Below are 14,706 nucleotides of genomic sequence, written 5' to 3'. Positions count from 1 at the left end.
TCCGTGCTTACCACCTTCCACCCTGTGTGTCTGCCTCAGAGATTCAGGTTCTGGAGGGAGGTTCTGATTGGGCTAGACTGGGTCATGGACCTGACCCTACCATGAGGGACATAGGCCCAGTGATTCACCACCTCACGGAACCAACACAGGGCCAGGGAAACTGTGGTTTCCCCTAATGAAAAGATGTTGAACAGACAAAACTAGTGTGTGAATTCCATACACCATTTTCTTTCAACTGTGAGCCTTTTCACATTCTGTTCCCTCTTCCTGGAAGGCTCTGCTCCCCTGCAGGCCTTGGCTTAGATGTCACTTCCTCTGGGAAGTTTCCTTGAGCATCCAAGCCTGGGATGGGTGCCCTCCTACGCAATGCCATAGCACTTGTCTCACTATATTGTAGTCGTCTGTTGACTTGTCTTTCTCTTTTGTTGGATGGTGAACTTGATGATCGTAGGGGTCATGTCTACTTTGCTCACAGTTCTCAGCCCCAAGTGACACCATTCATGGCACACAGTAGATCCTCAGGAGCTATTTGTTACATGAATAAACATAAAAATCTGGCTCTCTCACTAACCTGATGTGATCTTAGGGAAGGCCCTTCCCCTCTGGGCTTTAGTTTTCTTATTCCTAAAATGCAGGGTAGCAGTATTTATTGTTTGAGGATAGTTTGATGGCAGGAAACCAAAATCCATCTATGCTAGCTCAACAAAACAGGGAGGGTATTGTGAGGAATCAGGGGTGTCTCATGGAACCTGAGGGCTGTGCTAGGGGCTGACTCAGGAACTGGAAAACATTCTAGAATCAGCGTGGACACTTGTTCATCCTGCTCCTTCTCCTGGGGCCATGTGGTCCTGCCTCTCGCTCCTCTCACAGCACTACAGGTCTCTGCCTCTTCTCTGTTCATGGATGGTAGTGACCATTTCAGCCCACTTGTCTCAGGTCCTTCCAGCTCGTGTGTCCCGGGTTGGATTCCCTGAGGGGCAGACGCTGACATGGAGCTTGTGGAGGATGTTTACTAGGGAGTGTTCCCAGGCTCAACCCCTGTGGGAGGAAAGGGAAGGTGCAGGAGCGGACAGAGGGGGAAGCTGAGGTGTGATGCCATCCCCAAAATGTCCTCTGATCTCGTGGAAAGCCCTGGACCTGGGATAGTGAGGGGACTGAGCCTTTAACCGCTCCTCTGCATTCGGATGTGGGCTGCCCAGGAAAGAGAGCACGGCCATGGGCAAAGCAGCTCTCTTTGGCTGAGGCCATCCTTGATGCACTGACAGCTGGTGATATGGTTTGGATTTGTGTCTCCACTGAAATCTCTTTTGGAATCGTAACCCCCAGTATTGGAGGAGAGGCCTGGTGGGAGTTGATTGGATCATGGGGGTGGATTTCACCCTTGCTGTTCTTGTGATAGTGAGTGAGCTCTTGTGAGATCTGGTTGTTTAAAAGTGTGTAGCACCTCCGCCTTCGCTGTCTTCCTCCTTCCCTGGCCACGTAAGATGTGCCTGCTTTCCCTTCGCCTTCTGCCATGATTGTAAGTTTTCTGAGGCCTCCCCAGCCATGCTTCCTATATAGCATGCAGAACTGTGAGCCAGTTAAACCTCTTTTCTTTATAAATTACCGAGCCTCAGGTAATTCTTTATAGCAATGTGAAAATGGACTAATCCAGCTGGGGAGTGTCTTGTTTCCCAGCACTTTCAGCAGCTAGGGGAATATGCCCTTCATTCCTCAGGGAGATCTGGGCAGTGCATCAAATGTCCTCCACATGAGACTAAGTCCCAGGCCTGGTTCCTCTTCTTGAGGAAGAATCTGATTGGCTCCGCTATTGTTCAGGTGTCCACTCTAAAGCCAAGGCTGTCAAGTTATGTGAGACAGACAGCCCTTCAGTTAGGGATCGGAGGGGACCAAAAAGAGGGGATGTTCAAGGCTGGTGAGGATATGGAGCGACAGGAACTCTCATTCTTGCTAGTGAGAATGCAAATGGTGCAGCAACTCTAGAAGACAGTCTAGAAGTTTCTTACAAAACTAAACATGCTCTTACCACATTCTAGCAATTGTGCGCCTTGGTATTTACCCAAAGGAGTTAAAAACTTATGTCCACACAAAAACTTATACATGATATTTATAGCAGCTTTATTCATAGTTGCAAAACTTGGATGCAACCAACATACCCTTAAGTAAATGAAGGGTAAATAGCTGTGGTACATCCAGACAATGGAATATTATTCTGTGCTAAAAAGAAATAAGCTATGAAGACATAAAAAGACATGGATGGACCTTAAATGCATATTACTAAGTGAAAGAAGCCAATCTGAAAGGGCCACATACTGTATGATTCCAACTAGGTGACATCCCTGAAGAGGCAAAACTATGAACACGATAAAAAGATCAGGGGTTGCCAAGGGTTTAGGGGGTGAGGGGGAGGGAGGAATAGGCAGAGCACAGCAGATTTTTAGGGTAGCAAAAATACTCTATATGATACCACAGTGGTAGATACATGTCATTGTACATTCATCCAAACCCATAAAATGTATATTACCAAGAGTGAATCCTAGTGTAATCTATGACTTTGGGTGATAATGATGTGTCAATGTAGGTTCATTGATTGTAGCACATGTACCACTCTGGTGCAGGGGTTGATAATGGGGAGGCTGTGAATGTAGGGGGCAGGGGTATATAGGAACTCTCTGTATCTTTTTCTTTCGATGTGATCCTAAAACTACTCTTAAAAAATGTCTTTCAAAATAAGTTATGGCATGAAGAGCCTTCAAATTTGTCTTCTACAAACTCAGTGACAGGGAGGACAAGATTGCTAAGATCAGGGGCTCTGGAGCCAAACTGCTTATGGTTGAATCTCATCAGCTAGGAACATATTAGGCAGTAAGTAACAGGAAATGCCTGCAGAGAGACTTAAACAAAGGAGGAGTTTATTTGGCTTGTCCAATAAGAAGTCTGGGAGAAGGCAGTCCTGAGCTGATACAGTAGCTCAAAGATGTCCCTGGGGACGTGGGATCTCTGTTTTCCTGCTCTGTCATAGCTATACATGTCCTCCTCATGGTCACATGGTGGCTGCTGCACCTCTGGTCATCACATCTGTTTCCTGTAAATAAGCAGAAGGGAGAAGAAGTGAGAAACAGGAAGGGCAAAGGGTCTTCCCCTAGCTAGGCTTTGTCTTTTTATTTGGAAAGGAATGGCTGTTCCAAGGACTTTCACTTTTTGCCCGTTGGCCAAAATTGTGTCGCAGGGCTACTCCTAGCAGCAGCAAGGGAAGCTGGGAAGGTGAGCATTTTGGCTTTTTAGCTATTGAGTAAAGGAAGGAAAGAAAAAGGGGGCTTGACAATGGCTTTTGGATAGTTCATCCACTATATGTACCACAACCGCTTACTGCCTGTGTGACCTTGGACAAGTCACTTAACAATAATTTGTTGTTACTCTGGCGATCAGTGATTCCAATGGTGGCATCACAGGCACAGTGGCAGGTGTTGGGGTGAGGTGTGTGCTATGCCCCTTTTCCTGCTGGCATCAGCCTTGGAAAGCACAGTTCACAGAGCATGAGTGTCTTGCCTCGGGGAGGCAGGTGGGCGAGAATTTAGTTTCAATTTGAAATGTTTGAGGTTAGGGCCTAGAGGGGCCCTAGGGTTCAGGGGTGTAGCGGATATGGGTGTGCCCCTATCTTCTGGGGCAGGGCAGCTCAGTCCAGGTGAATAGGGGGTCGCACTGGTCCCCCCCTGCCTGGAAAGGGATCATTTTAATGAGTAAAATTTGGCCCTGGGGGCTGGTGCCGCATTTCTCTTCCTTACTGCTGGGGAATCAGAACAAATCGATTGTGAGCAACCCTAATAAATTGATTCAATTTGGTGACCAGAAAAGACAAAATGAAGGGGAAATATGTATCGCTCCCAGCCATAGCACCAGTGGTTAATCTCAGCTTCATAACCCTGCACTCGTGGTGGCTTAAATAATTAAGTGGAGTGAAGGCTGACTAAATTATTCCTCCTCCCCTGCCCTCTTAGAAGACCAGTGGCCTGAGTAGTCAGCCCACTGTTCCCCAAGCACGCGGGTGCCCTTAGCCACCCAGGGTGGTATGTGGCTGGGCACCCAGGTGGCTTCAGGTAGGCATGCACTTGTCCCAGGCCTACAGATCTGCACACATATATGCCTGCTCACATGTGCACACCCCCCACACACCCTGTACACCTGCATATATCACTGCATACCCACACACTTGCATCCAGCCAAGAAGGAGCCCCTCCTACCTCCAGCACGGAAGAAACAGAAGAGATGAGGGGATCAAGCTAGGGGGCCGGTGGTGCAGTGGCTGAGGGTGGGTGGGCTCTGAGGCCCAGGCGCCCTCTGTTGTTTACCTGCTGCCCTGGCCAGGAGGGCAGCTCCCCGCAGCTGCCTCTGCTGCAGCAGCTCCTCTCTCCCGGGCCCCGCGCTCCAGCTGGCGCCCGCCTTGTTAATAAAGGCAGATTGCTGCTCAGCTCGTCCCCAGCACTCCTGACGGGGCCATTAATATTCCAGGGAAGATTACCTCCCCCTCTGCTCCCGCCCCTGCAGCCACTGGGCCCTGCCTGACAGATGAGGGCCCTGGGCTCAGACAGAGATCCTGGAACCTAGGCAGGGTGCTGCCTGCAATGACCTCTGGAGGTTAGGGACGTTCCTGCCTCCACCTGGCCCTTCCAGGCTTCATTTGTGAAAGTAGCAAAGCATGAATGAGAGGGAGAGCCAGGCAGGCAGGTGGAACCTGGAATGGCATCTTAAGGGATCTAACTCAGTCCTTTTATTTGGCTCAGAGAATGCGAGTGACCTACCTACTGTCACATCGCAGGAGTGGAACCCAGGTCCACTCAGATCCAAGTTCCAAAAAGGCAGACAATGTCCACACACCTTCTATGGAGGCCATGGTGGGGCACAGGGGCAACGAGAATGGCAGCATGATCCTGCCGGGGAGCTGCTGGTGAGGCTGGGGCTCACCAAGCCCTCCCCGCTTCACTGCAGTGGTGGGGGCCTCCTTGTGGACCTGCTGCCGTCAGGAAGTGGGGAGCGGGGCACGGCTGCCCCTGGATGCTGAGCTTGACTCCTCCTCAGAGGTGGTCTCTGGTAGCTCTTTTCCTGCTTGATAGTGTCTGGCTGGGATTTGAAGGTGGCAGAGCTGCTGAAGGAGGAAAAGTGGGAGGCAGCAAAGAAGGGAATCCAGGCCTCAAGGATTCTAATTTAAAGACACAGCCGCCCTGAATCCCACTTCTCTGACAAGCTCCAGCTCCCTCCCATGTGCAGCCACCTTACCACTTCAGGCACACTGCATGTACCACACACACATGCCACCCATGTATACACACACCTGCACATACCACACACACTCAAGGACACACAAGTGTGCACCAAACTCATCCATTCTTGGAGTTTTGATCAGCACTTACTTGTAATAATAAAAACTAAATATTTGCTCTTTGTCCCTGTATGCTGGCACACAGATCCTAAAACTCTTGGAATCTCCAAAGTGGGAAGTGTCTTTTGTATGCTAATGCGATGAGTGGTGGCCCTAGGTAGCTTCAGGATGGAGCTGGTCACCAAAGACCAAGGCATGATTAGAGGGTTGGGACTTTCAGCCCCACCCAATACCTCTGGGGAGGGGAGAGGGCTGGAGGTTGAGTTCAGTCACCAGTGGCCAATGATTTAAACAATCATGCCTATAGGATGAAACCTCCAGAAAGACTCCTAAGTGATGGGACTTGGGGAACTTCTGGGTTGTCACACAAAGGGAGGTGCTGGGAGGGGACACAGCCAGAGAGGGCGTGGAAACTCGCACATCTCCCCTATACCTTGCCTTATGCATCTCTTCTGTGTAGCTGTTCCTGTGTTATATCCTGTATAATAAACCAGTACAGTAAGTAAAAGCGCTTTCCTGAGTTCTGTGAGCCGTTACAGCAAATTATCACAGGGAGGAAGGGGTTGTGGGAACCCCTGATTTAGAGCCGGTTGGTCAGAAGTACAGGTGGTGACCTGCGACTTGCAGATGAGGCCCCCCCGACCCCCAGCTCTGACAACTGAAGTGGGAGAAGTCTTGCAGGACTGAGCTCTTCCCGTGGGATCTGCACTAACTCCAAGGAGTTCATGTCAGAATTGAACTGAGTTGAAGGACATGTTACCGGAAAAATCAAACTGTAAAATATTTTAAAGAGGTGTATTCTGAGCCAATATGAGTGACAGAAGCCCAGAGGACACAGTCACAAGGGGTCCTGAAAAAGTGCACCGGGGCGATCAGGGCACAGATTCATTCCATACCTGTTAGGGAGGCAAAGACATAAATCAGTACATGGGAGGTACACATTGGTTCAGCCCGAAAAGACTGGCTATCTTGATGCAGGGCTGATAGGTTACAGGTAGATTCGGAGATTCCTTAATATACAATTGGTTTAAGGTGTAAGGCTCTGTCTATCTAAACTTGGAGTAAGCAGAAAGGAATGTTCTTTCTTTTGTTCGTTTGAGATAGTCTCCCTGTGTCGCTCAGGGTGGAGTGCAGCGGTGCCATCTCAGCTCACTGAAGCCTCCACCTCCCAGGCTCAAGCGATCCTCTCACCTCAGCCTGTAGCTGGGACCACAGGTGTGCACCACCACGCCTGGCTAATGTTTGTATCTTTTGTAGAAACAGGGTCTCCTTATGTTGCCCAGGCTTGTCTCCAACTCCTGAGTTCAAGCAATCTGCCTGCCTCGTCCTCCCAAAGTGCCTGGCCAGAAAGGAATGTTTTCATTTAAGGATGCCATGTAGTAAGATTGATGGCCTGTGGGTGTGACATAACCCTTGCCTGGCATGGCCTTAGGTCCTGTTTATAATCTTGTATCTTACTGCCACAAAGAGTCTGTTTTGTCAGTCTCGTGATCTCTATCTTAACATCAATGCTGGTCAGTTCTGCCTAAACTCTGAAAGGGAGGGGATATACTGAGGCGTGTCCAACTGCCCTTCCCATCATGACCAGGAACTCCATTTTTTAAGGTTTCTCTGGGGTCCCCTTGGCCAAGAGGGGGTCCATTCAATTGGTGTGGAGCTTAGGATTTTTAGTTTACAAACATCTGGTTGGGTGGCTGGAGAATAAGAGAACTGGCCGTTGAGTGGAAGAAAAACCCACGCATTTGATGTCAGAAGTATTGTGAGTAAAAACAGTCAAAACTCAAAATTTGTGTCTCTGGTCCAGCTGCCCTCCAAGCTACAGTGGCCTATCTTTATGATGGCTGGGTATCCAGTGAGCCATGCCTCCTGGTGTCCATGCCCTGTGTGGTTCCCTACTTTTGAACCTGGATCAGGCGAGCCATGTGTTAGAAGTGATGCTGTGTGACTTTGGAGGCTGGGGAGACCCTAGATTAGAAATGCCTAGGGAAGCCCAGAAAACCCATGCAAAATTGTGTGAAGCCACTCGGTTTTGGGGTGGTTCACAGTAGATCATCAACTACAAGGAGAGCCCAGGTGAGACTTAAGAACAGCTTGGACTTTGGAGAATCCTGGCTGTGACTTTTGTGTGTTGTCTTGTGGGGCCACTGCCAGGGATAGGATGGGTTTCTCCTGAAGTTAGTCAACATTCACTCATCCTGGGTACAGACAGATCTGGACAAAGGAAAGGAGGACTCGGGACCAGGTGTTAGACCAGGGGTGCTGGGGTTAGATTGAGCTGCAAATATACAGGACAGAAAATCCTCAGAGAGCAGATGCTCGTAACAAAGTATGATTCTCTCTCAGTTGCATGATGTTCAGAGGCAGGCAGCGGAGGCTGACGTTTTGCAAGCTTCAGGGGTGCCCTTCGCATGGTATTCTGTGACTGGCACCTTCTGGGACACACCACAGAATGCCATGTGAAGGATGCCCCCTGGAGGTGGGCAGCAAAGGGCACCACCAGGCTTCTGTCTTCTATCTTGTTGCGCCATTGTGCATGGCTTCCATTCCAAGGGCACACCCCTACTCCATGATCCAAGGTGACTGCTGGAGCTCCAGCCATTCCATCTGCTTTCGATCAAGAGGGAAGAATGATGAAGGCCACCCCTCATTCTTTTAAAGACAATTGTTGGAAATGACACTTCCATGTATACCTCATTGGTCACATGACCACATCCAACTGCAAGCAAGGTTGGGAAATTTGTTGTTCTGAATGGGTACCTGCCCAGCTTCAAATCAGGAGTTCATAGAGAAGAGTGGATACTGGGGGACACCAGAAGAGTCTGTGGGAAGAGGAACCCGTACTTTCCAGGTTCAGGGATCAGCCCCAGAAACCACAGTAGAGAGAGGTGGGGGTCAGAGGCCCACAGCCATGTGGGAAGACGCGGAGGGCAAGACTGGGGGTGATGTTGGGAGCTGGTCTCAGAAGAGACCCTTTGGGATGATCACAGTATAGTATCATTCCTAAACCTTCAAGGCCTGTTAAAGTCACACCTAAGACCATACAGGGAGGTGGGGCATCAGGGAAGGGTCTGTCCCATGCTCAGGACAAACAGATGAGAAAAGAGAGGGGCCCCTCCTCAGGTCAGTGGTGGCAAGAAGCCCCAGGGAGCTGTTCCTGAGGACAGCTGAGTCTAGCACCCTGGGGCTTCCCAGAGACAGGGCCTTTCTTCTCACAGTCTGCCGTGGGGCCAATGGGGTTTCTCCACAGATGCCTCAGACCCAGCATATCCAAATAGAGCACTCACCTCCTTCCCTGCTTCTCCCCACTCCAAACCTGCTGTCCCCAGTCCTCAACCTCTCTGGTGTGGCCAGCCACTCTTGAGCCCCAGACAGACACCTGGAGAAACACTACACTCCATCTCTCACCCGCTACCCTCCAGCCCTCAAGCCGGTCCCTCCACCCCTTAGCACTCCTCCCTGTGCTCTGCCCTCTCCCTCTGCTTCCCTGGCCCCTGTAACCTCACCTGGATTACTGCAATCAGGCAGATGACTGGTCTCCTCCTCTGGTCTCCCCTGCTCTACCCACCTGGAGAATGCTGTATGATCAGCGACCTGATACCCAGTTGTAGCTTCCATCCTTGACCATAGCCCTGGCTAGCTCAAGAGTCCTCCAGCCGCTTCTCACTGCCTCCAGGGTAAAGTTGCAGCCCCCATGAGCTGCCTGCTGCCCTCCTCACACCGGCTCATACCTGCCCTTCACTCCCCACACCAGCTGCCCTGGACTGTGGCATCTGGCCCCTTCAGGCCAGAGTCTTGATATGACATACATATTGCGAGTCCTCAGTTCTTCACCGTCTCATGACAGGGTGAAATTGGTTCCCATTTTACATCTGAGGAGACTGAGAGTCAGGGAGGTTAAGAATCTTGCCCAACATCCCAGAGGCTGAGCTGGAATTCAAGCGCAGAGCAGCCTCACTGGGAAGTCGGTGCTGTCTCCTCCAGCTGTGCCCAGTGTGGTCAACCTCCCTCCAGGTCACACACATTCCTAGTCTCTCATGTTCATCAGCACACAGCCCAGTGCTCAGACTGCCCTTCCCTGGGGACCTCATTCTCTTCCACAGACTCATTTTCATATTCTTGCAGGTGGCTCAATATAAAAAATCTTATAGGGCAGGGCATGGTGACTCATGCCTGTAATCCCAGCACTTTGGGAGGCCGAGGTAGGTGGATCCCTTGAGGTCAGGAGTTCAAGACCAGCCTGGCCTACATGGTGAAACCCTGTCTCTAGTAAAAATACAAAAAATTAGCTGGGCATGGTGGCAGGTGCCTATAATCCCAGCTACTCGGGAGGCTGAGGAAAGAGAATCACTTGAACCCAGGAAGTGGAGGTTGTAGTGAGCCGAGATCTCACCACTGTACTCCAGCTTGGGCACAAGAGTGAAACTCTGTCTCAAAAAAAAAAAAAAAAAAAAAAAATCTTACCAATTTCTTCAAACAGAGTCAGCTCCTCTAGCCAACAAAGCTTTCCCCCTTTCCTGGCGTCAGGCCTTCACACCAGCTGTTGCTCCCTGTCTGCCCCGGGAAACTCTCCCCCATTCATTGCATGACTGGCTCCTCCTCATCTGTTAGGTCTCAGCTCAAATGTCACTTCCCCAGGGAATATAAAACAGTGAGACTTCGGAGAGTGGCACAGTCATTTTTACAAAGTTAAACATAAATTCACCATATGACCCAGCAATTCCACTCCTAGCAAATTATCGAAGGCAAATGAAAACACACATCCACACGAGACTTGTGTGTGATGTTCCATTGTGTGGATGACCACATTTTCTTTATCCATTCGTCAGTTACACATTGGGGTTGTTTCCACCTTTTGGCTATTATGACCGATGTTGCTATAAACATTCATGTACAAGTTTCTGTGTAGGCACATGTTTCATTTCTCCTTGGTATATACCTATGAGTGGAACTGTTGGGTCATATGGTAACTCTAATCTTTAATCATGTGAGGAACTGTGACTACTTTCCAAGGTGGCAGTGCGGGGGGATTCGGATCCTTCCACATCCTCACCAACACTTGTTATATGACTTTTTGATACCAGCCTTCCTAGCAGGTGTAAAGTGGTGTCTCCTTGTTTGGATTTGCATTTCCCTGATGACTAATAATGTCAAACACCTTTTCATGTGCTTATTGGCCATTTGTATATCTTCATCAGAGAAATGTCTAATCAGACTTTTTGCCCATTTTTTTTTGCCTTTTTATTATTGCTTTGTGAGAGTTCTTTAGATACAAGTCTCTTATCAGATATATAATTTGCAAATATTTTTTCTTCTTCTTCTTCTTTTTTTTTTTTTTGAGACGATTCTCACTCTGTTGCCCAGGCTGGAGTACGGTGGCGCAATCTCAACTCACTGCAATGTATTGCAATTGTTTGAACCACCTCCTGAGTTCAAACAATTCTCCTGCCTCAGCCTCCTGAATAGCTGGGATTACAGGTGTGTGCCACCACACCCAGCTAATTTTTGTATTTTTAGTAAAGAAAGGATTTCACCATGTTGGCCAGGCTGGTCTCGAACTCCTGACCTCAAGTGATCCACCTGCCTCGGCCTCCCAAAGCGCTGGGGTTACAGGCATAAGCCACCACACCTGGCCTATTTTCTCCCATTCTGTGGGTTGTATTTTTCCTTTCTTGATAATGTCTTTGAAATACACAAGTTTTTAATTTTTATAAATTCAAATTTATTTTTTCTTTTGTTCCTCATTATTTTGGTGTCATATCTATGGATCTGTTGCCAAATCTGAGGTCATGAAAATTCCCCCTATGTTTTCTTTTAAGTTTTATAGTCTTAGTTCTTATATTTAGGGCTTTGATTCATTTTGAGTTAACTTTTGTATATGGTGTGAGGTAAGGGTCCAACTTCATTCTTTTGCTTGTAGCTAACCAGCTGTCCCAGCACCATTTGTTAAAGTCTATTCTCCACTGAATGGTCTTAGCACCCTTGTTGAAAATCAGTTGACAGCAGACACATGGTTTTATTTCTAGACTCTCAGTTCTAGTCCTTTGATCTCTGTGTCTATCCATTGATCCAGACCACATTGTTTTGATCACTGTTGCTTTTCTTCATGACCACATTGCATGGAACAGTGTGGTTCAAATATTTGTTGACTGTTCAAAGCCCAACAACCAAAAACCACCAGGAACACAACCATAGGATTTATTTAGCTTGCTGTAGCAAGGGAGAATGCACCCTGGAGAACTTCCCAAACATCTCAAAAGGAGAGTTATGAAAGGGACCTCTTCCAGGGTTGGGGTTGGTGCTGGGTGACTTTAGGGAGAGGGTGGGGAAGCAGAGGCCAGTCTGGGGTTGGGTGCTTCCAAGAAGTGGGCCAATTTGGTGATAGGGAACTTAATTTTTACATAGGAGGTAGGAGGATTAAAAGAGGGCCAGATTGTCACTAGTGGAGAAGCACTGGTCACTCAAACAGGCTGGTCAGTCATTTTTGTGACCCTGGAGCAGTCTTCTCTAATGTGCTGTCTTGAGCACTGTCTTTTGTTTCTTTGGTCTGGTTGTCAGCAAGGCTGTTTTCCACATTCTGGGAGTAAACAGATGGCCTCTGCTGTGGAACAACTAGAGATTCAGTAGGCCAAGGCAGCCTCCACCCATCCTGTGACATCTAATCCAATGCTTGCTTTAGGGACCAACACATCGGCCAGGGTCAGCTGGGGATAGCAGGAGGTGCCCTCAGTGTATGATGGCCTGTGCCTAGACCACTAACTCACCATGTGGCCTGGGCCTGTTTCCTCATCTGGAATATAGGAAGATTGGAGGGGACAGCACCCCAGCCTCCTTCCAGTTCTTCCTCTGTGATCTAACTGTCTTCTTGTGCTATTTCAAAGACAGGGAAATCTCCCACGATGAGTGTCCTTATTTCACCGGCCAATACCACGTGTGTGCACTCACACACACTCCTGCACACACAGGCAGCTGTGACTCACCCGCTTCAAGTCCCTGATTCAGTCTTCTAGCTCAGCAGCTCCAGACATTTGAATTTCATACCCTGGCAAAATTTCCAAAAAATATTTTTGGGACCAACACAGGGTTGCCAATATTTTATTTTGTCAAATAGGACATTAAAAATAGCAAGTACTACCACCTGCTGCAAACATTGAATCATAAAAGGATAATATAATCAAGGATAATACTTTCAAGTTTCCTGTGTTCTCCTCATTTTTTGGACAAAGATGAAACTCCTGCTGGAAGAGACAATTGTTAGTGTTCCCTGTGTTTGGGAATAGCTGTTTTATCTTTTGACTTTGGGTCTTATTAAAATGCAAATGCTGTCTGAGGGGTAGCCTCAGTTGGCCACAAAGGAGTGAAGGGCTCGTGGGGAGGGGGTGTGGCAGGCCGAAGGAGGGGACAGGAAGGGCTCCGAGCTGAGCCCAGGACACCAGTTCTCCAGAAGCTCAACAAGCCAGAGAGGGAAGAACTCACACCCATGTCCCCACGCACATCTCAACAGCCTCTTTAATTGAGAAGTTTGAAACACAGGCCTGGGAGAAAGTGTTGGGTAACTGGTGAAGCTCTAGTCAAAGGAAGGTTGAACTAGAAATCTCCCCTCTGGCCTTGAAGCTGCGCCCTCTTAACACCTCCCTAGCTGCCACATTCTACTTCCAGTTGTTTGCACCTGAAATGTTTGCCCAAAGCCTATGAGAAATACTGTGTGTGTGTGTGTGTGTGTGTGTGTGTGTGTGTGTGTGCGAGAGAGAGAGAGAGAGAGAAATCTCTGCAACCACCGTAAGTAGCTTTTGTAGAAGAGAGAAAGAAGCGGAAAGTAAGTTGTCCAGCCCCACAACAATGGTGTGAGTTTATTTTTAACTTTTTTGGGTCACAGGACAACACATAGCATTGGTGGTTCACTCTGTCTGGACCGTGCAGAGCCAAATTCAAAGAGTAGACCCCTCCTACCCCCCACCCATTCTCCTAGTGCCTTACGCACTGTGCTACTATTCCTTTAAAATGTGCTTCTGTGTCACCAAAGGGGACCAATCAGCATACAGGGGGAGGAGCTACTTGGGGCCCTGACCACCAGTTGTGCCAATAAAATAAGAGTCTATAGGGACTGCTCTAAGAGTGACAGCCTCCTGAGGAAGCTTGGTGCAAACCTGTTTAAAGGGACAGTGTATCAAAAGGGCCACTCCGGTGGTATAAAGAGTTCAGAGCCCCTGAACTGAGCAGTGCAGCCCCAAAGTGGCTGCCGTCCTTCTGGAAGATGATAATTTGCTGGAAAAGACAAGCGATTTATCTGTCTAATTGGGCTTTTATTTGCATTTTAAATCATGCTCTTTTGCTAAACTAATGGACCCCCTATTTATAGATGACTCCAACACAAAGTGACTACTAATTACTACAATTAATATCACGTTAAGGGCTTGCCAGCCAACTTCACAGCAACTTGTATCGCCTACTCATTTTCAATTAAGGCACATTGACAGGGAGAATACGTGGTTATTAAGAGAGGGCCCTGGGGTGTAATTACTGCTCATGAAGGTCATTAAGCAACTCCCCTGCAGGGTTGGCACCTTGGCGCCCAGGGGCTGGGGCCCAGGTCCACGTCCTACCCGGGAGCCATAAAGGCACAGTGCCCCAGGCTGCCAGGCAGATGGCAAGCCTGGCTCTGACTTGCCTGGAGGTGGAGCAGATGATGCCGGGACGCTGGGGCTGAGATAGCAGAGGCAGGGAGGCTGAGGGGGCCATCCCTCCTCCTCCTGAAGACAGCAGTTGTGGCAGCCACTGGAGAGTTGGCAGGAGCACCACAGCCTCCTTGGAGTGGCACGCAGCAAGTGTCTATGAGGCCTCCTCCGGGACAGACAGGGGGTGGCAGTAGGGGAGCAAGGTTCGGGGGAGGCTGGGAGGCAAATGCTTCAGGGCTGGGAGGGGTCCTGGGCTCCAAATGCTGGGGAACGGCCACTTCTGAGGAGGAGGAGGAGACACTGGGGTGAAGTGAAGCTGTCAGAGAGAGGAAAAGGCCTGGAGGGGTGGGGTAGTAGTTGAAGAAGTTGAAGAACGTGAGCATTTCAAGATTTGGGACCAGGGTGCTTGTGACCAACTGTCCACTGATTCTTCCTGACCTGGCAGCCACAGCCCACATGCCACAGTCAAGGCACGGGCTGTCAGCCCCAGAGCCAAACCCAGGGCCCAAGCAGGGGAAGGCTGGGAACCTATGAGGCACAGGGCCGAGACCTGCTGGTGGTGGGGTGAGGACCTGGGACCGGAGGCGAGCAGCCCCTGGCAGTGGGGTGCTGGAGCTGGGCCTGGGAGCCGGGCCAGGGCCTTCCTGACTTCAAGGA

The 14,706-nt window shown here is 49.3% G+C and overlaps 1 long non-coding RNA gene across 1 annotated transcript, besides 1 other annotated feature; it reads right to left on the bottom strand.

Annotated features, from left to right (window-relative positions):
- Positions 1-2,892: 2,892 nt before the first annotated feature.
- On the bottom strand, positions 2,893-4,863 carry LOC124901308 (uncharacterized). Its single transcript, XR_007059557.1, has 2 exons — positions 4,800-4,863; positions 2,893-3,085 (listed from the first exon to the last, which is right to left on the bottom strand). It is a non-coding gene; the product is annotated as an uncharacterized LOC124901308 (long non-coding RNA).
- Positions 13,299-13,593: an enhancer, noted in NCBI's record as "tiled region #1001; HepG2 Activating non-DNase unmatched - State 20:ReprD, and K562 Activating DNase unmatched - State 9:DNaseU". NCBI's record gives its function as "activates a minimal TATA promoter and a strong SV40 promoter by Sharpr-MPRA in HepG2 and K562 cells {active_cell/tissue: HepG2 | K562}" and the evidence as "EXISTENCE:reporter gene assay evidence [ECO:0000049][PMID:27701403]".

This window comes from Homo sapiens, chromosome 6 (genome assembly GCF_000001405.40).
Source record: "Homo sapiens chromosome 6, GRCh38.p14 Primary Assembly".
NCBI classification, from domain to species: Eukaryota; Metazoa; Chordata; class Mammalia; order Primates; family Hominidae; genus Homo; species Homo sapiens.
This window is presented reverse-complemented; position numbering and strand designations above follow the sequence as displayed.